The sequence below is a fragment of the Homo sapiens genome, chromosome 17 (genome assembly GCF_000001405.40).
Source record: "Homo sapiens chromosome 17, GRCh38.p14 Primary Assembly".
NCBI lineage: Eukaryota > Metazoa > Chordata > Mammalia > Primates > Hominidae > Homo > Homo sapiens.
The window spans coordinates 81,939,433-81,964,651 of NC_000017.11; the positions used below are offsets into that span (position 1 = coordinate 81,939,433).

General features: G+C 59.1%; 2 protein-coding genes across 2 annotated transcripts, besides 9 other annotated features; both read right to left on the minus strand.

Annotated features, from left to right (window-relative positions):
- Window positions 213-7,801, minus strand: MYADML2 (myeloid associated differentiation marker like 2). Its single transcript, NM_001145113.3, has 3 exons — window positions 7,627-7,801; window positions 2,864-2,941; window positions 213-2,411 (listed from the first exon to the last, which is right to left on the minus strand). The coding sequence occupies exon 3, from the start codon at window positions 2,307-2,309 to the stop codon at window positions 1,386-1,388; it is 924 nt and encodes a 307-aa protein (NP_001138585.2). The 5' UTR covers window positions 2,310-2,411; window positions 2,864-2,941; window positions 7,627-7,801; the 3' UTR covers window positions 213-1,385.
- Window positions 9,055-9,555: an enhancer, noted in NCBI's record as "H3K4me1 hESC enhancer chr17:79906363-79906863 (GRCh37/hg19 assembly coordinates)". NCBI's record gives its function as "activates a minimal SCP1, AML or CMV promoter by ChIP-STARR-seq in primed H9 embryonic stem cells {active_cell/tissue: H9 hESC(primed)}" and the evidence as "EXISTENCE:reporter gene assay evidence [ECO:0000049][PMID:30033119]".
- On the minus strand, window positions 13,075-21,755 carry NOTUM (notum, palmitoleoyl-protein carboxylesterase). Its single transcript, NM_178493.6, has 11 exons — window positions 21,155-21,755; window positions 20,208-20,260; window positions 20,039-20,134; window positions 19,503-19,563; window positions 18,903-18,961; window positions 18,374-18,476; window positions 17,451-17,642; window positions 17,218-17,318; window positions 15,965-16,112; window positions 14,824-14,871; window positions 13,075-13,835 (listed from the first exon to the last, which is right to left on the minus strand). The coding sequence occupies exons 1-11, from the start codon at window positions 21,475-21,477 to the stop codon at window positions 13,529-13,531; spliced, it is 1,491 nt and encodes a 496-aa protein (NP_848588.3). The 5' UTR covers window positions 21,478-21,755; the 3' UTR covers window positions 13,075-13,528.
- Window positions 17,051-17,635: an enhancer, noted in NCBI's record as "H3K27ac-H3K4me1 hESC enhancer chr17:79914359-79914943 (GRCh37/hg19 assembly coordinates)". NCBI's record gives its function as "activates a minimal SCP1, AML or CMV promoter by ChIP-STARR-seq in primed H9 embryonic stem cells {active_cell/tissue: H9 hESC(primed)}" and the evidence as "EXISTENCE:reporter gene assay evidence [ECO:0000049][PMID:30033119]".
- Window positions 17,636-18,219: an enhancer, noted in NCBI's record as "H3K27ac-H3K4me1 hESC enhancer chr17:79914944-79915527 (GRCh37/hg19 assembly coordinates)". NCBI's record gives its function as "activates a minimal SCP1, AML or CMV promoter by ChIP-STARR-seq in naive H9 embryonic stem cells {active_cell/tissue: H9 hESC(naive)}" and the evidence as "EXISTENCE:reporter gene assay evidence [ECO:0000049][PMID:30033119]".
- Window positions 19,903-20,465: an enhancer, noted in NCBI's record as "H3K27ac-H3K4me1 hESC enhancer chr17:79917211-79917773 (GRCh37/hg19 assembly coordinates)". NCBI's record gives its function as "activates a minimal SCP1, AML or CMV promoter by ChIP-STARR-seq in naive H9 embryonic stem cells {active_cell/tissue: H9 hESC(naive)}" and the evidence as "EXISTENCE:reporter gene assay evidence [ECO:0000049][PMID:30033119]".
- Window positions 19,903-21,101: a biological region, named in NCBI's record as "H3K27ac-H3K4me1 hESC enhancers GRCh37_chr17:79917211-79917773 and GRCh37_chr17:79917774-79918336".
- Window positions 20,242-20,581: a silencer, noted in NCBI's record as "silent region_9173". NCBI's record gives its function as "represses an Ori minimal core promoter by ATAC-STARR-seq in GM12878 lymphoblastoid cells {active_cell/tissue: GM12878}" and the evidence as "EXISTENCE:reporter gene assay evidence [ECO:0000049][PMID:35858748]".
- Window positions 20,466-21,028: an enhancer, noted in NCBI's record as "H3K27ac-H3K4me1 hESC enhancer chr17:79917774-79918336 (GRCh37/hg19 assembly coordinates)". NCBI's record gives its function as "activates a minimal SCP1, AML or CMV promoter by ChIP-STARR-seq in naive H9 embryonic stem cells {active_cell/tissue: H9 hESC(naive)}" and the evidence as "EXISTENCE:reporter gene assay evidence [ECO:0000049][PMID:30033119]".
- Window positions 20,612-20,691: a silencer, noted in NCBI's record as "silent region_9174". NCBI's record gives its function as "represses an Ori minimal core promoter by ATAC-STARR-seq in GM12878 lymphoblastoid cells {active_cell/tissue: GM12878}" and the evidence as "EXISTENCE:reporter gene assay evidence [ECO:0000049][PMID:35858748]".
- Window positions 20,958-21,101: a silencer, noted in NCBI's record as "fragment chr17:79918266-79918409 (GRCh37/hg19 assembly coordinates)". NCBI's record gives its function as "represses an EF-1alpha promoter that drives an FKBP-Casp9 reporter gene in an ReSE screen in HepG2 liver carcinoma cells {active_cell/tissue: HepG2}" and the evidence as "EXISTENCE:reporter gene assay evidence [ECO:0000049][PMID:32094911]".
- Window positions 21,756-25,219: the final 3,464 nt, after the last annotated feature.

Consider the following 25,219-nt stretch of genomic DNA (forward strand, 5'->3'; position numbering starts at 1 on the left):
AGCCAGGCTGGCCTGTCACCCCTGTGAGGCAGAAGACGCTGCCTGCCCCTTCCCCAGGAGGCTGCTCAGACCCTCAGGAGCCCAGCCTGCCCTGACTGTGATCCCAGGCCACTTCCTTCCTCAGCCTTCCCCCAGAGCACGCTAGGAGGGGCCGCCAGGAGGGGCAAGTGCCCACAGTCCCCTCAGAAGAGACTGCTGGTCCAGAGGCAGGGTACGTATAAATGTCAGCATTTATTTCCTGCTCAAGGACGTCAATGGGGCCCAGTCAATGGGCTGAGGGGCTGTTGTGCCACTGCCCACCCGGCTTGGACTCAGGGGTGGCCAGTGGGTCAGCTCCTGGCTGGACCAGGCTGGGCTTCTGTGCAGGAGAAGCTGGCTGGAGCCTGGAGGATGATGGCCCCGGCGTCAGGAGTTTCGGCAACTGGACCCTTGAGCAGAGGCAAGCAGTACCCAGATTCTGTGTCCAGCGGCCGCCCTCAGCCGGGCTCCCTCCCAGTGCCACAGATGCCCACAGTGCACAGATGCCCGCCGGGCACTGCTGAAGCTGCTTCGTCACAGCCAATGGTGAGTGTCCAGGTGGGGCTCCGTGGCTATGGCGGAACCAGGTCCTCCCCGTCCACTGTGCACTCGGTGCCGCCGGGCTCTGCAGGCTCTTCCAGGCCACCCGCGCCACCTCCAGCCTGCGGAGACTCCGGAGGAAGCCTGCTTCCAAACACTGTGGCTACCAGCCCAGAGGCTTCCCGGACGTGGGTGGGAGAGGCTGGTCCAGATTTCTGGCTCCTTCTCTGTGAGCTGGCACAGCTCCCCAGGCAGGGCTCTCTTCCCAGGGTTCTGGGAGCTGCCTCTCTGAACCAGGAGTGGTTCCGGCTCCCCACGCCCCTCCCTCCCCTTGCCTGGCCCAGCTACTCTCCTGGGTTCGTCTCCTCTGGAAGTCATTCCTCTTTCAGCTTGCCTTACCCAGCCTGACTGTGGTCTCCAGACACTAATGGAGGTACTGGGTGCCTCGCAAATGCTTCTAGCCTCCATGTCCCCAGCTGCAAAATGGGTCACAACAGCAGCTGCTTTAAAGTTTTCCCTTATGATGTTCCAGTGACCAGCACTGAGCCCCAGGAGCGCTGGGAAATGGTGAGAGAGAGTGAGTTGGGGATTGGCCTAGGTGAGGCTCTCCCCTGCGTCTGCTCAGGGCCTCTGCCCTACTGTCCTGCCCTTGTCCCTCTGAGCCCAGTCTGGAAGTCGGGGAGTGACCTCTCCCGTTGTACTTCATCTCCCCTGAGCCCGCGGCTTCCCTCCTGCTCGCTACTTGACACTTTGGTTCACCTGAGTTTCCCTCGCAGAGCCTGGAGCTGGTGGCCAGAGAGCAGAGGTGGGTGGGCTGCCACTGTGGGCTACAGGCTGGGCACGAAGCGAATCCTCTGGGAGTAGGCGAGGTCAACGACGTACAGGAGCAGGTTGACGTAGGTGAAGATGGCCACCACCAGCTGGCTGTCCCAGGGACAGCTGCCCCGAGCACAGTTGGGGGGCCGTTTGGGCTCACCGTACTTGGGATCGAAACAGAAGACTGGCCAGATCACGGCGGCGCTGAGGTACAGGAGCACAGCCAGGAAGGTGTACACCACCACCAGCCGGTCAAAGGGGCAGCCCAGGCCCCCTGTGTGGCCCATCACACTCAGGGCCACCACGGCCACTGTGGCCAGGAAGCACAGGCTGTAGACGGCCACGCACCACTGGGTGGCCACGTAGCGCCCGTAGCGGCTGTCATGGACCAGCGCCCCGAAGATGATGCAGGCCACGAAGGCCTGGACGATCTTGAGGAGCCCCGACACCGTGGCCATATAGCTGCTCACCTGGCCGGGCCGGGCCCGCGTCAGGGCCACCTCCACAGCGTAGGCCAGGAAGAGGAGCCCGGCGAAGACACTGGCTGCCAGGCGGAAGTCCCTGGCAGCACAGCCGGCGGGCTCGGGGGAACACTCCCGCCGGGCAAAGTACAGCGGATACAGGACCGCAGCCGTCGCGCATAGCAGGGTGGCCAGCATGGCGAAGGCGGCGGTGAAGTTGCCCCAGGAGAGCCGCAGGCAGCCGTGGAGCCGTGTGAACTCACAGGCCACCACCAGCGCAGAGACGGCGAAGCAGAAGCCCCAGGCGGCCATGCAGAAGGTGCCCTGGACGCCCGCAAAGCCACCCCGGTGGGCCACCAGGCTGAAGGTAGTGCAGCCAAAGGCCAGCTGCAGCACGCGGGCTGTGCCCACAGGGGATGTCACGGCGCCCAGGTGCAGGTACGCACCCCCAGGGGGCTCCATGGTGCTGCCCATCTGGCCAGCCACGTTTCCAGCTCACACAGTCCCCCAAGGCCCTGGGGTCCCTGCTGGGCCAAGGCCCCTCAGTCCTCTGCGGTAGTGGCAGGTGCCTGCAGCCTGCAGAGGCAGTGACGACGGTGACATTGCAGCAGGGCAGCCTCTCTGCTGTCTATGTGAGGCGGCTCCCCCCAGCGCTATAAATAGACAGCCGTGATCAGAGCCCCGGAATAGCAGCTTGCGTGCCTGTCCCCATCTTAGAGAGACATCTGACCCCTGGTCCCCTGTGGAGCCCCTGCCGGGACCATTAACCCATTGGCTGCTGGCACCACCCCCACCTCCGCCTCCCGCGCACCTGCATCTGTCAATCCGGTCAGTTGGTTTCACGCTTGTGGGGGAGGGGGAGGGAGAAGGAGGGGAGCAAAGAGCATGAGGGTCCCCACGGGGTAACCCCAGCTCCAGCAGCCTCCAGGGCCAGCTGTGCGGGGGAGGGGTGTAGGAGGCAGGAGGCGGCAGCCTGGGCTCCTGGGGCTCGCGGGGGTCGGGGATGGTTTCCCCAACATTTATCTCACCCCTTCTGGATGGCCGCGTGGTTCAGAGCCTGCATGGGCTTCAGGATCCTGCTGTCATTGCCTGGGGTTCACAGGGTTCTGCTGCGGCCAGAGGAGCAGAGCATGGAGACCGTGGCCTCTGCTCCCCGAGCCCCGCTCCCCACCCTCATTCTGTCTCGTCCCTAACCTGCCTGGGGCAGAGACATTTGACTGTTAGTTACTGTTACTGTTTGCAGGGGCCATTCTGGGGCTTTTCACTTGTCCTTCACATTAAACACCTAGAAAAACACTCAACTCTTCCCTTTTTTTTTGAGATGGAGCCTCGCTCTGTCACCCAGGCTGGAGTGCAATGGCGCGATCTCGGCTCCCAGGTTCAAGCAATTATCCTGCCTCAGCCTCCCAAGTAGCTGAGATTACAGGCGTGAGCCACCATGCCTGGCTAATTTTTTTGTATTTTTAATAGAGACCGGGTTTCACCATGTTGGCCAGGCTGGTCTTGATCTCTTGACCTCATGATCCGCCTGCCTCGGCCTCCCAAAGTGCTGGGATTATAGGCGTGAGCCACTAGGTCCGGCCCCTCTTTTTTTTCGAGATAGGGTCTAGCTTTGTCGCTCAGGTTGGAATGCAGTGGTGAGATCACAGCTCACTGCAGCCTCGACCTCCCAGGCTCAAGTGATCCTCCTGCCTCAGCCTTTTTATTTATTTACTTATTTATTTATTTAACCACTTGCACTCACTTCCACCTCTTCCATTTTTAAGCTAAAATATGAAATGTTTTTAAAAAGGAAAAAAATGATATCTTTTTTTTTTTTTGAGACGGAGTCTTGCTGTGTTGCTCAGGCTGGAGTACAGTGGCGTGATCTCTGCTCACTGCAAGCTCCGCCTCCCAGGTTCACGCCATTCTCCTGCCTCAACCTCCCGAGTACCTGGGACTACAGGCACCTGCCACCACGCCCGGCTAATTTTTAGGATTTTTAGTAGAAACGGAGTTTTACCATGTTAGCCAGGATGGTCTCGATATCCTGACCTCGTGATCCACCTGCCTCGGCCTCCCAAAGTGCTGGGATTACAGGCATGAGCCACTGTGCCCGGCCGGAAAAAATGATTTCTTACTAATTTTTTTTTCTTTTTTTCTTTTTTTTTTTTTGAGACAGAGTCTCGCTCTGTTGCCCAGGTTGGAGTGCAATGGCGCAATCTCGGCTCACTGCAAGCTCTGCCTCCCAGGTTCACGCCATTCTCCTGCCTCAGCCTCTTGAGTAGCTGGGACTACAGGTGCCCGCCACCACGCCTGGCTAATTTTTTGTATTTTTAGTAGACACGGGGTTTCACCATGTTAGCCAGGATGGTCTCGATCTCCTGACCTCGTGATCCGCCCGCCTCAGCCTCCCAAAGTGCTGGGATTACAGGCGTTAGCCACCTCGCCCAGCTTTGTTACTAAAAAGAGAAAGAAAAATTGCCTGTAATTCCATCACCTGGATTCAACCACTTTGAACATCTTCTGGTATATCCTTGTATGTATTTCCTGGACTTTTTAGTTAGAAAAACTTAAATCCAGCCGGGCGCGGTGGCTCACACCTGCAATCCGAGCACTTTGGGAGGGGCTGAGGTGGATGGATCACGAGGTCAGGAGATACAGACCATCCTGGCTAACATGGTGAAACCCCATCTCTACTAAAAATACAAAAAAATTAGCCAGGTGTGGTGGCACGTGCCTGTAGTCCCAGCTACTCAGGAGGCTGAGGCAGAAGAATCGCTTGAACTCAGGAGGCAGAGGTTGCAGTGAGCCGAAATCACGCCATTGCACTCCAGCCTGGGTGACAGAGCTAGATTCCGTCTCAAAAAAAAAAGGGCCGGACGCAGTGGCTCACACTTGTAATCCCAACACTTTGGGAGGCCGAGGAAGACGGATCACAAGGTCAGGAGAAATTGAGACCGTCCTGGCTAACACAGTGAAACCCCGTCTCTACTAAAAATACAAAAACAAAATTAGCTGGGCATGGTGGCACGCACCTGTAGGGCAGCTCCCAGCTCCTCGGGAGGCTGAGGTGGGAGAATGGCGTGAACCTGGGAGGCGGAGCTTGCAGTGAGCTGAGATCGCAACAGAGCGAGACTCCTCAAAAAAAAAAAAGAAAGAAAAAGAAAAAGAAATGCCTACTGAATCTCTGCCCTGGGTTTCTGAGACAGAACTTCTAAGACCCTTTCAGACAGAGGCAGGAGGAGTCTTTTATTGTGGTATTTGGTCTTTGACCCCGGTTCCTGACATAGAGCTCCTAAAACCTTTATAATCTCCTAACCCATAGGATCATCTGACATGGGGCTCCCAATCCCCTTGAATTTCCTGGGTGACAGGAGCGTCTTTTGTTCTAATGAGGCGACTCCTGGTGGGCTCCTGGACAGCCTTGGGGTGGGGGGTTGGTGGCAGCTACTATGTGATCAGAAGGGCAGAGCTTCTAGCCCCACTTGCAGCCTCCAGGAGGGACAGGGGCTGAAGGCTGAGCTGATCACCAGTGACCAATGATGTAATCAGTCATGCCTACGTAATGAAGTCTCCATAAAACCCAAAAGGACAGGGTTGGGAGGTTTCCAGGTGGCGGAATGCTTGGAGGGTCCTGGAAGCTCCCTGGAGAGGCCTCCAGATGAACAGCATTGCCTCTATCTGCTGTTCATCTGGGTCCTTTGTCACACATGGGGAAACATAAATAAAGTGTTGGCGGAGCTCGGTGGCTGACGCCTGTCATCCCAGCGCTTTGGGAGGCTGAGGCAGGCAGATCACTTGAGCTCAGGAGTTCCAGACCAGCCTGGCCAACATAGTGAGACCCCATCTCTACAAAAAATACGAAAATTGGCTGGGCGCAGTAGGTCACGCCTGTCATCTCAGCACTTTGGGAGGCCGAGGCAGGTAGATCATTTAAGGTCAGGGGTTTGAGACCAGCCTGGCCAACATGGTAAAACTCTGTCTATATTTAAAAAAAAAAAAACAATTGGCTGGGTGCGGTGGCTCACACCTGTAATCCCAGCACTTTGGGAGGCCAAGGTGGGCGGATCACGAGGTCAGGAGATCGAGACCATCCTGGCTAACACAGTGAAACCCCATCTCTACTAAAAATACAAAAAATTATCCAGGCGTGGTGATGGGCGCCTGTAGTCCCAGCTACTCAGGAGGCTGAGGCAGGAGAATGGCGTGAACCCGGGAGGCAGAGCTTGCAGTGAGCCAAGATAGTGCCACTGCACTCCAGCCTGGGCAACAGAGCAAGACTCTGTCTCAAAAAAAAAAAAAATTGGCTAAGTGTAGTGGCACATGCCTGTAATCTCAGTTACTGGGGAGGCTGAGGTAGGAGAATCGCTTGAACCCAGGAGACCGAGGTTGCCGTGAGCTGAGATTGCACCACTGCACTCCAGCCTGGGCAACGGAGTGAGACTCCATCTCAAAAAAAAAAAAAAAATGAGTTGGGCGTGGTGGTGCACATCCGTAATCCCAGCTACTTGGGAGGTTGAGGTGGGAGGACTGCTTAATCCCAGGAGGTTGAGGGTGCAGTGAACTGTGATTATGCCGTCACACTCCAGCCCGGGCAACACAATGAAACCCCATCTCCAAAAGTAAATCAATAAATAATAAAATGAGGAAAGTGCTTCCCTGAGTTCTGTGAGCCACTCCAGCAAAGTCACAAAACTGGAGGAGGGGCCATGGGAACCTCGGTTGGCCAGAGGGCGGGTGACACCTGCTACATTTGGTCATCTGTCCTCAGGTTCCACACCCAAGTATTCAACAAACCTCAGACTGAAAATACAAAAAATACTGGCCCGGCGCGGTGGGTCACGCCTGTAATCCCAGCACGTTGAGAGGCTGAGGCAGGCAGATCACCTGAGGTCAGGAGTTTGAGACCAGCCAGGCCAACATGGTGAAACCCCATTTCTACTAAAAATACAAAAATTAGCCGGGCGTGGTGGTGGGTGCCTGTAGTCCCAGCTACTTGGGAGGCTGAGGCAGGAGAATCGCTTGAACCCGGAAGGCAGAGGTTGCAGTCAGCCGAGATCGTGCCACTGCACTGTAGCCTGGCGACAGAGCAAGACTCAGTCTCGAAAAGAAGAAAAGGCCGGGCGCGGTGGCTCATGCCTGTAATCCCAGCACTTTGGGAGGCTGAGGCGGGCGGATCACAAGGTCAGGAGATCGAGACCATCCTGGCCAACGTGGTGAAACCCCGTCTCTACTAAAAATACAAAAAATTAGCCAGGTGTGGCAGTGGGCGCTGGTAGTCCCAGCTACTCGGGAGGCTGAGACAGGAGAATGGCGTGAACCCGGGAGGCAGAGCTTGCAGTGAGCCGAGATCGCGCCACTGCACTCCAGCCTGGGCAACAGAGCAAGACTCCGTCTCAAAAGAAAATACAAAAAATAAATAAATAAAACAATAAATAAGGCCAGGCGCAGTGGCTCATGCCTGTACATCCAGCACTGTTGGGAGGCGGAGGTGGGTGGATCACCTGAAGTCAGGAGTTTGAGACCAGCCTGACCAACCAACATGGTGAAATCCCGTCTCTACTAAAAATAACAGAAATTAGCCAGGCCTGGTGGTATGTGACTGTAATCCCAGCTACTCCAGAGGCTGAGGCAGGAGACTTGCTTGAACCTGGGAGGCGGAGATTGCAGTGAGCCAAGATCATGCCACTATACTTCAGCCTGGGTGACAGAGGGAGACTCCATCTCAAAATAATAGTAATAATAATACAAATAATACAAATTTAAAAAGCAATACTATGTAACAACTGTTTACATAGAATTTACATACCAGGTGTTATAAGTAATCAAGAGGTGATTTAAGTCCAGAGGAGGGGGTTATATGCAAATAACATGCCATTTTGTATCAGGGACTCTGGCCTTGTGGATTCTGGTGTTTTGGAGGTACTGGATCCCATCCCCCAAGGATACAAAGGGACAGCTGTACTTGGGACTGGCATCTGAAGTGGAGGACACTCTTGTGGGACTGAGACCTTAGCCTGCAGGATCGGGTACTGTCTCCAGGGAGAAAGCGTCACAATGGAACAGGGTTGGAGGACGCCCAGCGGGTGTCCGCGGAGACTGGATGGAACCGGGTTGGAGGACGCCCAGCGGGTGTCCGCGGAGACTGGATGGAACAGGGTTGGAGGACACCCAGTGGGTGCCTGCGGAGACTCGCTGGAGCAGGGTTGGAGGATGCCTAGTAGGTGTCCACTGGAGACTTGCTTGGTGTTTGGGGAAAATCCCCACACACATTTTGGTGACCAGAGATGAAGTATTCCATGTTGGATGTTGACTGTTGAGTGTGTGAGAGCAGGGAAAACACTGTTTTTTTTTCCTGTCTCAGACACCAGCCCAGCCCTGGAGTCAGCCGTGTCTCCCAGGAACCTGGTTCCTTGTGTTGGGGGAATGGCATCAGAGACCAAGACATGGGGGCCAGGCACGCTTGTTGCTGCTGTGGTATACATTCACAAACGTTAACAAATATTTTTATTTTTACTTATTTATTTATTGAAGATGGGGTCTCGCTCTGTTGCCCAGGCTGGAGTGCAGTGGCATGATCTCAGCTCACTGCAATCTCCGCCTCCTGGGTTCAAGAGATTCTCTTGCCTCAGCCTCCTGGGTAGCTGGAATTACAGGCACGCAGCACCACACCCAGCTAATTTTTCTATTTGTAGTAGAGACAGAGTTTCACCATGTTGGTCAGGCTGGTTTCAATCTCCTGACCTCGTGATTCACCTGCCTCGGCCTCCCAAAGTGCTGGGATTACAGGCGTGAGCCACCACGCCCAGCTGGCTTTCTTTTTTTAAGTACAGAGTTTAAATTTGTAATGTTGTCACACAGTGGAAGTTCCCTGCTTTCAGTCCCTGAATAGCAAAGGCTATGCCTTGGCCATCGCTGCTGGAAGAGACACGGCTCAGTGTTGGATGAATGTCCTGACTGTTTTCGCCCCAGAGAATGAAAGGCGCCAACCGTCCTGGGAAAGGTGAGAAGTCAGCGTGGACAAGCTGGGGTGACCATCACTGCAGAGCTACAGGCCAGCGTCCTCTTCGTGTCCTAGGGCTCGTTTTGTTCCTGGTCCTGCAGGACAGCCTGGGGTCACCGTCACTGCGGAGCTACAGGCCAGCGTCCTCTTCGTGTCCTAGGGCTCGTTTTGTCCCTGGTCCTGCAGGACAGCCTGGGGTCACCGTCACTGCGGAGCTACAGGCCAGCGTCCTCTTCGTGTCCTAGGGCTCGTTTTGTCCCTGGTCCTGCAGGACAGCATGGCAGCGATTGACCGATTGACCATTAGGTGAGCTGCGCCTCTTTCTCTTTCGGCACAAATGTGGGAAGAAAGGGTTTATTTGTCGGTGAAATCCCTTTGGGCCCAACCCACAAGTGTCCTGTTCAGTGAGCCTGGTCCCCCCAGACACACACCACCATCCGCCCTCAGGTCCCTTTCAGCCACCTCAGAGGAGCAAACATCACGCCTGCCAGACTGCAGTGCTCAAGCCAGAGTTGGCCAAGAGCCAGCACCTCGCATGTGGCTCCCCCAGCTCCCACAGCACGGCAGGGGTCCCAGCAAAGTCTCCCCAGACAGGGTGACAGCCAGGCCTCTTTCGGGCTCCCCAGCCCCCTCTCCCTCCCGAGCTCTGTCCTTGTGGGGAGTCCTGTCCAAGGCCCTGCCTGGAGGTCTGGCTCTGGAGGCCCCGAGAAGGAGGCCACCAGACTCCCCCGGACCCCTTCTCTCACCTCCAGCCCTCGGTCTCCACATCTCTGACCTTGTCGTCTCCATTGGCTGCTGGGACTCCATGGATTCCCTCCAGAGACCACATAGGAGTGCTCCACAGGGGGATCGTGGACAGGCCACTTGGCTCTGCCTGGGGTGGCAGACACCTGCCCACGGGCACCAGTCCTGTCTGGGTATTCTCAGGCCCAGGGCAGCCCTGACTCATTGGCACAGAGAGTCAGACCCCAGGACATGTCCCCAAGGCACAGGGTCCTACGGTCCTGGCCACTCTGGGAATGGAGCCGTGGCCGCAGGGCAGGTGTGAAGCTCAGGCTGACGTGGCCCCGTGTCCTCTGACCCTTATGGTCACATTGCCTCTCTGGGCCTGTTTCTTTGTAAACTGGAGTATTTATTTTATTTTATTTTATTTTTTGAGTCAGAATCTTGCTCTGTCACTCAGGCTGGAGTGCAATGGTATGATCTCAGCTCACTGCAACCTCTGCCTCCTGGGTTCAAGCAATTCTCATGCCTCAGCCTCCCGAGTAGCTGGGACTACAGGCACCCGCCACCACACCCGGCTAATTTTTTGGTATTTTCAGTAGAGACGGGGTTTCACCGTGTTAGCCAGGATGGTCTCGATCTCCTGACCTCGTGATCCACCCGCCTCGGCCTCCCAAGGTGCTGGGATTACAGGCATGAGCCATTGCGCCCGGCCTTTTTTTTTTTTTTTTGGTATTTTTAGTAGAGATGGGGTTTCACCATGTTGCCCAGGCTGGTCTCAACCTCCTGGCCTCAAGCAATCCACCCACCTCGGCCTCCCAAAGTGCTGAGATTACAGGCGTGAGCCACCGCGCCCGGCCTGTAAACTGGCGTTTATAATGAAACCCACCTCGTAGGGCTACATACAATTGGCATGGAATGCTTTGCTCAGAAAGCTCCACCCACAACCATGCCCAAGGCTGGCATTGGTGTGACCTTGGTATTATCAAAACTACAGAGATTCATGGGTACGTTTGTGTGTGTGTTTTGAGACAGAGTCTTGCTCTGTTGCCCAGGCTGGAGTGCAGTGGCACAATCTCGGCTCACTGCAACCTCCACCTTCCAAGTTCAAGCAGTTCTCCTGCCGCAGCCTCCCAAGTAGCTGGGATTACAGGTGTGTACCACCACACCCTGCTAATTCTTGTAGTTTTAGTAGAGACAGGATTTCACCATGTTGGCCAGGCTGGTCTTGAACTTCTGACATCAAGTGATCCACCAGTCTCAGCCTCCCAAAGTGCTGGGATTACAGGTGTGAGACACCGCACCTGGTCTGTTTTTTTTTTTTTTTTTTTGAGACAGGGTCTTGCTGTCACTCAGGCTGGAGTGCACTGGCGCGATCACTGCTCCCTGCAGCTGTGACTTCCCAGGCTTAAGTGATCCTCATACCTCGGCCTCCTGAGTAGCTGGGACCAGAGGTGTACATCACCACACCCAGCTAATGTTTTAATTTTTTTTTTAGAGACGGGGTCTCCCTTTGTTGCCCAGGCTGGTCTCAACCTCCTGGGCCAAAGCGATCATCTCACGCTGGCCTCCCAAAGTGCTGGGGTGACAGGCTAGAGCTTCATGTTTTTGCCCCAGGAATCCCACATCTGGGGTTTAGTCCACAGACATACTTGCCCTCATGCAACGTGATGACCACACGACAAGGCTATGCACGTGCACCCTTTGCACCTGCGTGTGCCGCAGAGCCCTCCGCAGGCCCTGGACTGTCACACCTGCGGCAGCTCACTGCGCGCCCCGAAATACAGTGTCAAGAGGAGGAGACACCAGTGTGTAGTGTGTAGCCATCTGTGTAAAAGAAAAAAATGCATGTATGTCAACGTGTGCACCTGTTTACCGGAATTTTCACGAAATGATCTCTGGGAATATCCACAAGGTAACACTGTTTGCCCTTGGAAGCAGAGCCAGGGAACCTGAGCTGTGGGGGAAATGGGCATTCGCCCTCATATCTTCTGCATCTTTTGAATTTTGAACCATGTGCAGGAATGACCTAGTAGAAAGAAATAAAATGCAAATGTTTAAGGAATTGTCAGCTGGGTAGGAAGTGTTCTGGATTGATAAAGAGTTTTGAAACTAGGGAGTGGGCGTGGTGGCTCACATCTGTAATTCCAGCACTTTGGGAGGCTGAGGCGGGTGGATCACCTGAGGTCAAGAGTTTGAGACCAGCCTGGCCAACATGGCGAAACCCCATCTCTACTAAAAATACAAAAATTAGCTGAGCGTGGTGGCACATGCCTGTGATTCCAGCTAGTCAGGAGGCTGAGGCAGGAGAATCGCTTGAGCCCAGGAGGCAGAGGTTGCAGTGAGCCGAGATTGTGCCACTGCACTCCAGCCTGGGAGACACAGCGAGACTCCGTCTCAAAAAAAAAAAAATTTATTTTTTATTTATTTATTTTTTTGAGACGGAGTCTCGCTCTGTTGCCCAGACTGGAGTGTAGTGGTGCAATGCAATCTCGGCTCACTGCAACCTCTGCCTCCCGGGTTCAAGCCATTCTCCTGCCTCAGCCTCCCGGGTAGCTAGGATTACAGGTGCATGCCACCACACCCAGCTAATGTTTTATATTTTTGGTAGAGACAGAGTTTCACCATGTTGGCCAGGCTGATCTCAAACCCCTGACCTTGTGATCTGCCTGCCTTGGCCTCCCAGAGTGCTGGGATTACAGGTGTGAGCCACCACGCCTGGCAAGAGTTTTGAAACCAGAAACGGGGGTCACACGGCACTCTGAGTGCGACAGATGCCGAGTCGCTCACTTGGAAATGGCTCATCCTGTTATGCGAATTTCTTCCCAAAAAAAATAATAAAATGAAAAGGGGCCACGTGCAGTGGCTCATGCCTGTGATCTCAACACACTGGGAAGCTGAGCAGGGAGGATTGCTGGAGCCCAGGAGTTCAAGACCAGTCTGGGCAACAAAGGGATATTCCATCTCTACAAAAAATTAAAACAGTAGCCGGGTGTGGTGGCGCGTGCCTGTAATCCCAACTATTCAGGAGGCCAAAGTGGGGAAATTGCTTGAGCCCCGGAGTTCAAGGCTGCAGTGAGCTGTGATTGTGCCACTGCACTCCAGTCTGGGCAACACGATGAGATCCTGTCTCTAAATAAATGAATAAGTAAAAAGAAACGCAGCTGGTGCCATCCGCCCTGGGAAGTGGGTATCTGCAGAAGGGTTGAAGGGAAGCAGGGCCCCTCCAGAAGACCCTGCTCTGAGTCTGTGCATCCAAGAAGGGGTCAGAGTTGGAGAGTCCCCACGGCCCCTCCCTTTGTCTCCCTGCTGCTGTGGGGCTGGGGAGGGGAGGTGGGGGAGGGAGAGGAGGGGAGAGAGGGAGGGAGAGGAGGGAGGGGAGGGAGAGGAGGAGGGGAGGGAGAGGAGGAGGGGAGGGAGAGGAGGAGGGGAGGGAGAGGAGGAGGGGAGGGAGAGGAGGAAGGGAGGGAGAGGAGGGAGGGGAGGGAGAGGAGGAGGGGAAGTGTGAAGCAAATAAACACGCGGGCAGGGTGAGGTTCTTTTTTGTCTCTTTAAAATCATTTTTAAAAAGTTACAAAACAATATCATTCATCATATATTCTTATTTTCCTTTTTTTAAAAAATTAAAGTAATAAAAAAGTCACTTTATAAAATAATATAAAAGGGCTTGATGGGTGGGGCCGGTGGGTGCTGTCTGAGCTGGTGGACTGAGGAATCCAGTGCTTCTCTTCTGGCTACCCCCTCGTTGTCAGGAAGGACCCCCAGGCCACAGATGGGGATGACAGCAGGTCCCTTGTCTCTGGCTGGGCTGTGGGAGAGGGGCAGGGAAAGCCGGGGCAGGAGGGCAGTGGGCAGACCCAGACAGGGGGGACGGCTGGGGCCCTGTCCCGAAGAGACGGGAGGGCCTGCTGGTGGGGGGTGAGGTGGCACTGGGGCAGCGGGTGTCTGGGCCCCTCAGTGCCGGCTCCTCCTCCAGACAGTCTGCCTAGCTTCCGTTGCTCAGCATCCCCAGCAGCTCACTGGGCTCCAGTCCCTGCGGCTGGGCCACCGTCTGCATGTCGAAGCCCATGTGCATGAGGAACTGGGCCACGTTCATCTCTTGCCCCGTGAACTGGTCTCGGACGGTGGGGCATGAGGGGTTGCAGTGGGGCCAGGGGCAGCTGTCCACCAGGTGGACGGGGCAGCCCTTGAGGGGGGTCTTGCTGGCCTTGTGGCTGTCATGGAGGCTCCTGTCCCAGCAGTGCAGTGCTCGGGGCAGCGACGTCCCCTTCACCTGGACATCCGTCCAGTGGCTGCAGAGGAAAACCGGGGGAGGGGGTCACATGTGCGGAGTGGCATCAACACTGAGGCAGCTGTTTTTTTTTTTGAGACCAGCCATGGCAGGATCTCGGCTCACTGCAGCCTCCGCCTCCCGGGTTCAAGCGATTCTCCTGCCTCAGCCTCCCGAGTAGCTGGGATTACAGGCGTGTGCCACCGAGACTGGCTAATTTTTTGTATTTTCAGTAGAGATGGGGTTTCACTATGTTGGCCAAGCTGGTCTCGAACTGACGTCAGGTGATCTGCCCCCATTGGCCTCCCAAAGTGCTGAGATAACAGGCGTGAGCCACCGTATCTAGCCTGGGTTTTTTTGTTTTGTTTTGTTTTTTGAGACAAGGTCTCCCTCTGCCTGTCAGGCTAGAATGCAGTGGTGTGATCACTGCTCACTGCAGCCTCAACCTCCTGAGTTCAAGTGATCCTCCCACCTCAGCCTCCTGAGTAGCTGGGATTACAGGTGTGAGCCACTGCTCAGCCTGAGTCTTTTTTTTTTTTTCTTTTTTTTTTGAGATGGAGTTTCACTCTTGTTGCCCCCAGGATGGAGTGCAATGTTGCAATCTCGACTCACCATAACCTCTGTCTCCCAGGTTCAAGCGATTCTCCTGCCTCAGCCTCCGGAGTAGCTGGATTACAGGCACCCGCCACCACGCCCAGCTAATTGTATTTTTACTAGAGACAGGGTTTCACTATATTGGCCAGGCTGGTGTCGAACTCCTGACCTCAGGTGATCCACCTGCCTCAACCTCCCAAAGTGCTGGGATTACAGGCGTGAGCCACCGCACCCAGCCTGAGTCTTAATTCTTGCCATACAGCTGTTGGTACAAGTGGCTCTGGCACCCCTATAAGGAAATCCCACCCCTAGAAGCGCCAAGAAGAGGCCCATGGGAGGCCAAGTGCGGTTGGGGAGCATGTGGACTTTTGAAGTTGATGTCATGGACGCAAGCTGCCCGGAGCAGGGACACTGACCTCCGGATGATGATCTCATGGGAGAGGCAGGCGGGGGCAAAGCTGGCCCTGTTGGAGAGGAGACAGTGGCTTGTGAGCTCCTTACCCCCTCAGCCCCTTTTCCACCCCCACTCCCCTAGAGCTGTCCCCCGCCTGGCCATCACCCCTTCCTGTTGCTATGGCTGCCAGCTGTTCCTCTGGCCCGGGCCTCCCCCTAGTTGGCCAGCTCCCGGCTGACCCTTATCGCTTTGTGCCTCAAATCCCTGCTCAGAGTCCACCTCTTCCAGGCAGGCCCTCCCAGGTGATGGCAAGAGGCTGCCCTAGACAGGCAAATATTCTGCTACTATCTAGAACTCTATTTTCATTTTATTTTGAGTCGGGGTCTGGCTCTATCGCCCCAGCTGGAGTGTAGTGGTACAATCGAAGCTTGCTTGCCTCCCACAGGCAAGGTTAGCTCACTGTAACCTTGAACTCCTGGGCTCAAGGGATCCTCCTGCCTCAGCCTCCTGAGTAGCTGGGATTACAGGTGATGCCACCATGCCTGGATAATTTCTGTATGTGCAGTAGAGACACGGTTTCACCATGTTGCCCTGGCTGGTCTTAGACTCCTGGCCTCCAGCAATCCTGCTGCCTCGGCCTCCCAAAGGGGTGGGATTATAGGCGTGAGCCAGTGTGCCAGGCCCAAGACCGATCTCGATCTCTCTCTCTCTCTCTCTCTCTCTCTCCTCTCTCTCTTTCTCTCTCTCTCTATATATGTATTTTTTGAGACAGAGTCTTACTCCGTCACCCAGGCTGGAGTGCAGTGGCACAATCTCAGCTCACTGCAACCTCCACCTCCCAGTTCAAGTGATTCTCCTGCCTCAGCCTCTTGAGTAGCTGGGATTACAGGCGCCTGCCACTACACCGGACTAATTTTTTGCATATTTTGTGGAGATAGGGTTTTGCCATGTTGGCCAGGCTGGTCTCGCACTCCTGACCTCAGGTGATCCACCTGCATGGGCCTCCCAAAGTGCTGGGATTATAGGTGTGAGTCACTGCGCCCGGCCTACAAGACCTCTATTTTTTTTTGTTCTGGTTTTTCTTCTTTTGTTTTCTCAGGACCTCTATTTTTAAATAAGGAGGGAGCTACCCGGCGTGGGGCTCCCGGGGCCCACACACTCACGGCACGTCCTTGAGTGTGTGGCGCAGCTCGCGGCCGAGGTTCTGGATGTACAGCCGCAGGCCCTCCTGCACCGGCTGCCCCGTCAGGTGCACGTTGTCCACCGTCAGCTGTGCCTCGTCAAACAGCCACTGCACCACGAACACAGGGCCTGCGGGCGGCGGGGCTCAGTTCGGCCTCCCCTGACCCCCGCTGCTGCCCCCACCCCAGGCTCACAGCTCAGCACCCCCAGGCCCCTGCAGTGCCCCCACCCCAGGCTCAGAGCTCAGCACCCCCAGGCCCCTGCAGTGCCCCCCACCCCAGGCTCAGAGCTCAGCACCCCCAGGCCCCTGCAGTGCCCCCCACCCCAGGCTCAGAGTTCAGCACCCCCAGGCCCCTGCAGTGTCCCCCACCCCAGGCTCAGAGCTCAGCACCCCCAGGCCCCTGCAGTGCCCCCCATCCCAGGCTCAGAGCTCAGCACCCCCCAGGCCCCTGCAGTGCCCCCTATCCCAGGCTCAGAGCTCAGCACCCCCAGGTCCCCGCTGCTGCCCCCGACCCCAGGCAGAGCTCAGCACCCTCCCAGGCCCCCTGCAGTGCTGCTGAGGCTCACAGGCCAGCTAGCCTTGGCCCAACTCTCCCCAGGGGTGTCAGTCATAGGCCCCCACAGAATGTGGCTTCCTTCTTTCAAACCAGCCTTTTTATAATCCACAGCTTCATAACTAAATCAATAACTAAATCAACAACTAAATCAATAAACTGCCTTTCCTTGAAGACGGGCTCTGTTTAACCCCTCCATGACCTTGGCCTGGTTCTCAGCGACTCCACTTTCACCTAAATATGGTGATGATGCCCTTGCATATAACCTCACCATTCCTCAGAGCGTGGGGCTGGGGAGGAACTAGCCCAGGACCCTGCAGCAGGGAGGGGCAGCATGGGGATGAGCTCCAAAGCACACTAGCCACCGGTATAGGCAGGGTGACCACCTGTCCCACTTTGCCTGGGACTGAGGGGTGTCAGTGCTGAGGGCAGGCAAGTCCCAGGCATGCCGCAGCGACTAGGCCCCCTGGCACACAGCCGGCCTCCTCCCTGGTACACAGCCGGCCTCCTCCCTGGTACACAGCCGGCCTCCTCCCTGGTACACAGCCGGACTCCTCCCTGGACCAGGGCCGTGGTCTCCAAGCCCAGCCCAGAAGACTGGAGTCCACGCTGGATTTTCAGAAGCAAGGAAGTGTGGCCACCCCTGCTGCCCTGTGTGCTCCGCTCTGCCGCCCACTCACAGCGCAGGGTCGGGTAGACCTTGTAGCCAAAGAAGCAGTTCCACTCCTCGCCCTCCTGGAACTGGCGTCGGCAGCGCTCCGGGACCACCCCGTTCCAGTACCTGGAGCCACAGCCACAGGTTAGGCTGCCGTGGGTCTCGTCCCCCGGGGCTCCCCACCCACAGATGCCACTCCACCCAGGCCCTTCTGGGGCAAAGCTGCAGCACGAGGACGGGCCCTCCCCGCTGCGGCACCTGATGCCACGGCGGATGGCCTCCGTGGGCGCGCACGTGATCGTGTCGACGCAGTCTGTGTGGCGATACTGCTTGTTGTCCAGGAACCAGCCGGAGTCAGCCAGGCCTCGCACCTGGATGGCTGGGTAGCCCAGCTTCTCCAGCTGCTCAGCCACACGGTCCACATTCAGGAGCACCCCGGTGCCCCCCGCGCTGCAAGGAGGGCCAGACGTGAGGCCAGGTGGCTGGGAAGAGGCACTCACCTCCCCCGAGTCTGCTCAGCGTCAGCCCGTGCCCCGAGGGGGGCAGGAGTCCTGATGCGTTCTGAACTGCGGATGCATTCTGCATTCTCTGTTCACGTGCAAGACCCATGGCCGTCCCCTCCAGAGCAGGCCAGGGCTCAGGCTGGCAGGCCACATTTCCCTGACACAGCCAGGCTCTCCCCTTCCTCCTCCCCTTCCTCTCTCTGTCTCTTTACCTCAGGTTCCTTATCTGAAAATGAAGATAAACTATGTGGCCTCAGGCCCCATCATCTATTCCCCATTTGTCTCCTGGTCTCCTGTATGCCTGCTGGGATACAGGAACCCACAGGGGTGATCCTCATCTACCGGGCCCTGGAGAAGGAGCATTAGTCCATGGCCAACCCCTAACCAACGACTTAGGTCCCTGCAGCCCAAACCTTCCCCTATATCCAACAACCATGGCGTCCAGAAGCATCCTCTGGACAGTGTCTGGTTACCCAGCACTCTGAAGCCAGGCCTCAGAGACGTCTCCAATGATGCGGGTTCTCCCAGCTCCAGCCTCTCACCCTCCTAGCCACCTGCCAAGATCTGCACAGGCTCCACTCCATCCTCGCCTCTCATACAACCCCACCCCACACCCCTTCCATGCACCCTGCACACCGTCCTCACCCCTCACCTCCAGCCCTGCCCCGCCCTGCCCACCTGCTCCCGGCCAGCAGCAGCACCTTGGCCCCGCTCAGCCCTCTGCCCAGAAGCTCCCGCACCACCTCCTGGATGATGAGGGCGCCCATGAAGGCGTACTCGTCTGCAAGAGGGAGGGGGTGGCCTCAGGTAGGGGCCTGGACAGAGAGAACCACCTCCTACCCCAGAATGGCTGGCAGAGAAGTTCTTGCCCCACTGGGGGACTGGGAGGAATCTTCTGAGAAGGGGTCAGGGGCTTGGGTGGACTGGAGGAAGGCGGGTGCACCAGGCCATGCTGGGGCCTCCTCCCCAGGGAATATTCAGAAATAAGGACCTCCTACAGTTGTGGACAAGCAGGCAGTGGGAGCATGGGGCAGGCACCCTGGGACATACTGTCAAGGGCTTTGAAAGCACGACAAGGCTGAGAGTCAGCTTTTCCCCAGAACCCCTGCCGTCCCGCCTCATCCCTGCCCTGCCGTCCTGCCTCCTCCCTGCCCTGCCATCCGGCCCCGTCCCTGCCCTGCCATGCCCTGGGAAGGCCGAGACTCACTCTTCTCAGACTTGGATGAAGCCCCGCTCCAAACATCACTGGAGCAGTAGGGGATGAAGCTGCAACACAGAACAGAGTGAGCCTGTCACAGCGCCTGCCGCCCGGCAGCCTCCAGAAAGGACCCCCAGAACAGGACCCTCAGAAAAGACCATCCCAGGACAGGATTCCCCTGGAAGGACCATCCCAGGATAGAACTTCCCCTCAAGAAAGACCTCCAGCGTAATACTCCTCAGGAAGAACCAACCCAGGACAGGACCCTTTCCAGGAAAGACCAACTCAGGACAGGACCCCCCAGGAAAGAAGGACCATCCCAGGACAGGATCCCCCTGGAAGGACCATCCCAGGAGAGGACCCTGCCAGGAAGGACCATCTCAGGATAGACCCCTCCCCACCAGGAAGGACCATCCCAGGACAGGACCTCCTCCCCACCACGAAAGAAACACCTCCAGAACCCCTCTAGGACAGGACCTCCCCAAAAGAACCATCCAGAACAGGACCCCCAGGAAAGACCATTTCAGAATATGACTTCCCAAGGAAGGACCCCCCGGGAAGAACCACCCTCCAGGCAGGACTCCCAGGCAAGACCCTGTGCCCCCTTACACCATGTTTGCGTTCCACCAGTAGGGGTTCTCCTCCGGCTGTGAGGACAGGATCCCTGTGCCTGGGGACACAGAGGCGGTGGGTCTTTCTAGCGGGAGGAGGCTGTGTAGGGTCGGGTCTGGGAACCCTGGTGAGGTGTTGGGGCTCCTACTTGGCCCCAGGAAGGGAGGTGTGCTGGTGTTGCTAGCCCGAACCAAGGTTGCCGGGAAAGTGGAGGACAGTTGGGTTTAGTTACCCCCGGGAAGCCACCATGGCCACGGTGCCCGGCTAGGCTGGACACCAGGTCTGACCTTGACTTCAACCCCTTGCCCTGCTTTGACCCTGGGGAGGGCCAGAGCCGCTGGGTAAGCGCCTGAATGCTAATGTGGAATGGGCCCCAAAAGGCAAGAGTGAAGGGCGCCCCTTGCTCTTAGTAAACCCGGGCGCCAGGCTGGGCATGATGTGCGGGGTGGGGGCCTGGCTGGGGCTCCAGGAGGCGGGCGCGGCTTCCTCCCGGGCCTCACGTCGAGACGCCTTCCCCAGGGCCCGCCGCTGACCTGTGCGAGTGCGCGGCCAGTCCCGGGAGCTCATGAGGCGCCGCATGGTGTCGTATCTGGAGTCGCAGTTCTCGCGGTTGAAGCAGTACCAGCCGCCTGCGGACACGACCGCCGCTCAGGCCCGCGCGCACAGACCCCCGGCCTCCCCCCGCCTCAGCCCTGGACGCACCTTCCAGGAAGAGGAGCCACCGCCGGCTGCCCCTGGACTCCTTCAGGTAGTAGCTGCGGGGGAGGACGCACCGCGGGGGGTCGGCCAGGGCTGCCGACCCGCCGCGCCCCGCGCGCCCAGCTCCGGCGGAGGGAACGCGCCACCTGTTCCGGCCGCGCGCGACGGTCGCACGGGGGCGCCCTCGGCCAGGCCCACGGGGAGCTCAGGGACGGCGGCGGTCCCGGGAGGTGGCGCTCGCGGGGCGGGGAACGGGCCGCGCGGGGCTGTGGTCCGTGGAAAATCCCCACGTTCCGCCCGGCGCGGGTCCCGCTGTCACCTCGGCGCGGGCGGCGGTCCTCCCGGGGCGCGCGGCGGCGCTTGAAGCGTGAAACGCGTCCGCACTGAAGGAGCGCGCTTGGCGGGGGAACGGGACGCCGCGGGGAGCGCGGGAGGCGCGGGCGGCACCGACCCGGCGGGGGAGCCTTCCTGCCGAGCCCCGACCCCACGCCCAAGTCTCCCGCTGTCCCCGGCTGTCCTCGGCCTGTTGAGCGCGTGGGCGGCCCCGCCGCTCCCCGACCCCCGACCTCACGTCTTTTATCTACTTCGGGGCTGCAAGGAGGTGGGCAGCGGGCCTCTCCCCGCCCCCCGGTGTCGCCGGTTCCCGCTGGAGCCAGGCGCGCTCTCGGGCTGCCATCTCCCCGCCCCGGGACCGAAGGACGCCAGCAGAGCGGCTGGGCCCAGAGGCCGAGGGGTCAGTGCCCGAGCTGGCCGGGGACCAGCCCTTCCAGCGCCGCTCCGCTCCCCACGCGGAGAGTCACCGAACCGGGCACTCCTCGGGGCCAGGACCGCGGGGCGCCCGACGGAAGCCCTTTCTCCCCGGGGAGAGAACGGCCGCGGCCCGCAGGGAAGGTCCAGCCGGAGACCGGGCGCGTCGGGCGGGGCGGGGAGGTGCAGGGCGCGGGCCTTACCCGGCGGGGCTGCCGTCGTTGCAGGTCACCGAGGTGTTGAGTAGGAGGTGCAGGCGCAGGTCCTCGTTGAGCTGCTGCGCGGAGCAGGGGTACAGGGACTGCGCCAGGCTCTTGACTTGCGCCATGAAGCTGTCCATGTTACCCTCCACGGCCGTGAAGTCCAGCGGGAAGCTCTCCACGGGCTGTCCGGCCGCCGGCGCCGCCTCGGTCCGCGGGGGAGGAGGCGGCTGCTGACCCCGGCGCCGCCAGGTCTTCCTGCCCTCGCTGCCCCCGGCGCAGTGCAGCAGGCTCAGCAGCAGCAGCACGCGCACCCCTCGGCCCATGGCCGCGTCCACCTGCGGGGAGCGGGCGGCCTTGAGGCGGCGGCGGCGGCGGCGGGGGATGCCGGGCCGGGGGTGCCGGGCCGGGGGTGTCGGGGGCACTGGCCGCTCCTGCTCCCTCGCCCCCGCTCCCGCCCGCCGGGCCTGGCGGAGAAGGCGCGCGCGGCTCGGCGTCGAGGCGCTCGGGGCCGGGTGCCGTCGGCCTCCGCAGCTGGGGCTCCGCGCCCGGCCGTCCGAGGGCAGCGCAGGGTCTGGGTGCGCTGGCTGCGGCCCGCGCCAATGAGCGGCGGGGGCCGAGGCTGGGCTTATTTGCGGGGGCCGCGGCGGCCCGGGTGCCCGCGCGTTAGATGTGCCGCCGCCGCCGCCCGGGCTCGGCGGAGGGGGGAGGGGGCCGCGCTCGCTCTTTTCTTGGCGGAGGCATCGCCTTTTCTTCCCAAACCGCAAGCCTGACGGAGGGGCCTGGACTACCCCGCCGCGGCCGCCGGAGGCGCTCCCGGCCCGGCTCCGTGGGGGGGCAGCGCGGCCGGGCGGCCCCGGCGGCTCCATTCACCGCGGCCAGCCCGGCGCCGCCGCCCCCCCCCGCGGGGCAGCTGGAAGGGGCGGCGGCGACGGGGAGGGGCGAGGCTTTTCCGCGCCTGCCGGGGTGGGGGGCGGGGAACTCCGCCCGCGGCGCAGCTGGCCGAGCCCGACGGGCTGGGGGCGCGGGGCAGGCGCGCTCACCTGGAGCCGCCAGTGTCCCTCTCATCCCCCAGTGCCCAGGCCCAGAGCAGGCCGTGGGGGATTCGGACCCCGGCCCGCATCGCCCCACCTCGCGCAGCCCTGGGGCCCCGCTCTCACCGCGGCCAGCGCGGGCGGCCCAGTGGCCCCGTCCTCTCAGCGCCCCTGGCCCTGCGCCGTCCCGCTGGTGCGCCCGGCTCGGCTGCGCTCCCCCTCTGGCGCTGGCGCGGAGCCGCCAGGGACTTTTATCCAGCAGGGCCCCCCGGGATCAAAGCGGCGGCGGACACAGGGCTTCCAGCCGAGGGCCCGGCAGCAGTGGCGCCGGGGCCTCCTGGAGAAGCGGACAGGTGGGGCGCGAGGTCCTGGCTCCCTCGGAGACCTGCGGGAGGGACCGCGCGCCCCAGCAAGGCGCCGCGGGGGAGTCGCTCAGTTCCGGGGCGCTCCTGCTGGCGCTGGGGTCAGAGAAGCAGCTACGACTTAAGGAGATCGCGGGGCCAGAGGTGAGGTCCTGGATCTCCGCCCGCCCCAGCCTGGCTGCTGGCCCCATGCCGAGGACCCCCCAAGAACCTGCCCCAGCCGCCACTGGGGGAGGAGGCCAAGGGTCCAGTGGCTGCCCGCTAGGCCTCTGCTTGCGGCCCTTCATGCCACGAAGGGCACCTGCCCCATGCTTCACCTTGGAGAGCACCCCTGTCCACTCCCGAGGCTCTGGGCAGTGGGGTTAGAACAAGGTTCCTGTGGGAAATCAGTACTGGAGCAGGGTGGACAGGAGGGGTTCAGGAGGTTTCCTGCTGGGGTGAGCGCGGGTGGGATGGACAAAAGAAAGGAAAGGACATACGCAGGGCCAGCGGGGCCGGGCAGACTTTCTCCTTCACCCTCCGGTCTGAAGCCTGCTGGGCGCCATGACACCCATTTTAAAAATAGGAAACAGGTCTTACGTTTCAGGACAACCAGGTCTTACATTTCAGGACAACGATCTAGACACAAGCAGAGCTTCCAGAGCCCCTCCTAATTCAGGACAGTGGGGAGCCTACGGCACCACGTGGGGCAGGAGAGCAGAGGCGCAGGGCGGTGCCTGCAGCCAGGATGCCCCCGAGCCGCCGGCCGGGGCCATGTGGACGTCCTCCTTGCCAGCCCCGGGCTGAGTGAGGAGCTTAGGGAGAAAGTCCCAGCGCCGCCTGCACCCGCAGACAGCCGAGTTACCTGGGCTCTTGTGAAACAGAGAGACCAAACGCTGGGAGCTGTTGCCCCGCGCATTCGATGGGTGTAAGGCACCCCAGTGTAAACCACAAGGCCTAAGATCAGGCTGGGGTGCCCTGGAGGTCAGCCTAACCTGGGGACATTCTCAGAGGGAGGCAGGCTGTCACAAACTCAGGTCCCTCTCCCCACAGGGCAGGTTGCAGCATTTTCCTGACGAGGGGAACTGAGGTTCAGGGACACTAACAGAAGAGCTGAGGCTCACCCTTAGCTCTCTGCTCACTCAGAAATCCCCCCTGCTGTCCCTCCGCCGTCGGGTCAGTTTAAAAGCCAAGTGTGGGGCTGGCCAAGGGCAGTAGCTTCAGACGCAGGTCCCATCCTGAGGCGTTCTCCCACCCACACCCCGGCGGGGAAGGCTGACCCAGGGCAGATTTCAGCGTCCAGCAGGAACCTGTCCGGAGGAGGCCTCTCCCGCCGGGCACCTGTTATTCCAAGTCCGGAGCGTGATGGCATCTTCCAGCTGGCTGCACAGGGTTGATCTTCACACCGCCCTGGCTCTGAGCCATCTCCTGGTGCAGTATGGACATCCCAGGGAAGGCCTGTGACCTTTCCTTATGCCTGTGCTTCCTCTCATTTATTTATTTATTTATCTTTTTGAGACAGAGTCTTGCTCTGTCACCCAGGCTAGAGAGCATGACGTGATCTCGGCTCACTGCAACCTCTGCCTTTCGGGTTCCAGCAATTCTCCTGCCTCAGTTTCCCGAGTAGCTGGGACTACAGGCGTGTCCCATCACGCCTGCCTAACTTTTTTGTATTTTTAGTAGAGACGGGGTTTCACCGTGTTAGCCAGGATGGTCTCAGTCTCCTGACCTCGTGATCCGCCCACCTTGGCCTCCCGAAGTGCTGCGATTACAGGTGTGAGCCACGGTGCCCCGCCGCTTCCTCTCCTTTAAAGCGGGGTGATAACAGTGCCTCTGTCAGAGGGCTGTTGTGGGATTATAAGAGCCCACTTGTGAAATTGCGCGGTAGGGGTGGCAGTCATGATCACCGATGAAAATTCCAGGACGGGAGAAGACCATGTGCGTTACAGTTTCTGACGTCTCCTGTAATGCGATGGAGCCTGCATGTTGAACCGAAATGAGTTCACATTTTGGTTTATTCAACACTGGTAGCAGACGCCAGAAGAGGCTCAAACCCAAGACTTCCCCAGAACCTCTGCCCTTCCTCCACCTCCCCCCATTCCCCTCTCCTCCGAAGCCCCTTGCCGTGACCGGATGACTGACAAGGCTGCAGTCCTACGGCCGGGGACGGGGCTCCCGAGGCTCAGCAGCTGCTCACACCCATGTCCTCCTCTTGACTCACACCGACTGGCTCTGTCCTCACACTTCCCCAGCCCCTGGGACAGCTTTATCCTCTGCACCTGGGACTCCCCACCCGGAGTTTTGAGCACCCAGAGCCTGGCAGCAGCTCCCGTGGCGGGTCCTATGGGCCAGCAGGTGCTGGGCCTTTGCTTCCAGGCCACCTGCATCAAGATGGGACCAACCTGGCCCTGACAGGTATAAGAAAGGGGGACCCAGGTCCATCAGTAATGGGTCAGATGCTACCTCATGCCCACTAAGATGACCACGATCAAAACACAGAAACTAACAAGCGTGGGTGCAGCCGCGGTGACACAGAAGCCCCAGAGCATCGCTGTGGGGATGGACAGTGCAGTGGCCACGTCCCTCACCATGGAAAACGGTTTGGTGGCTCCTCAGTATGTTACACAAAACACGTGACCCAGCAGGCCCACTCCCAGGGATACACCCAGAGAATTGAAGACAAGTGTTCAAAC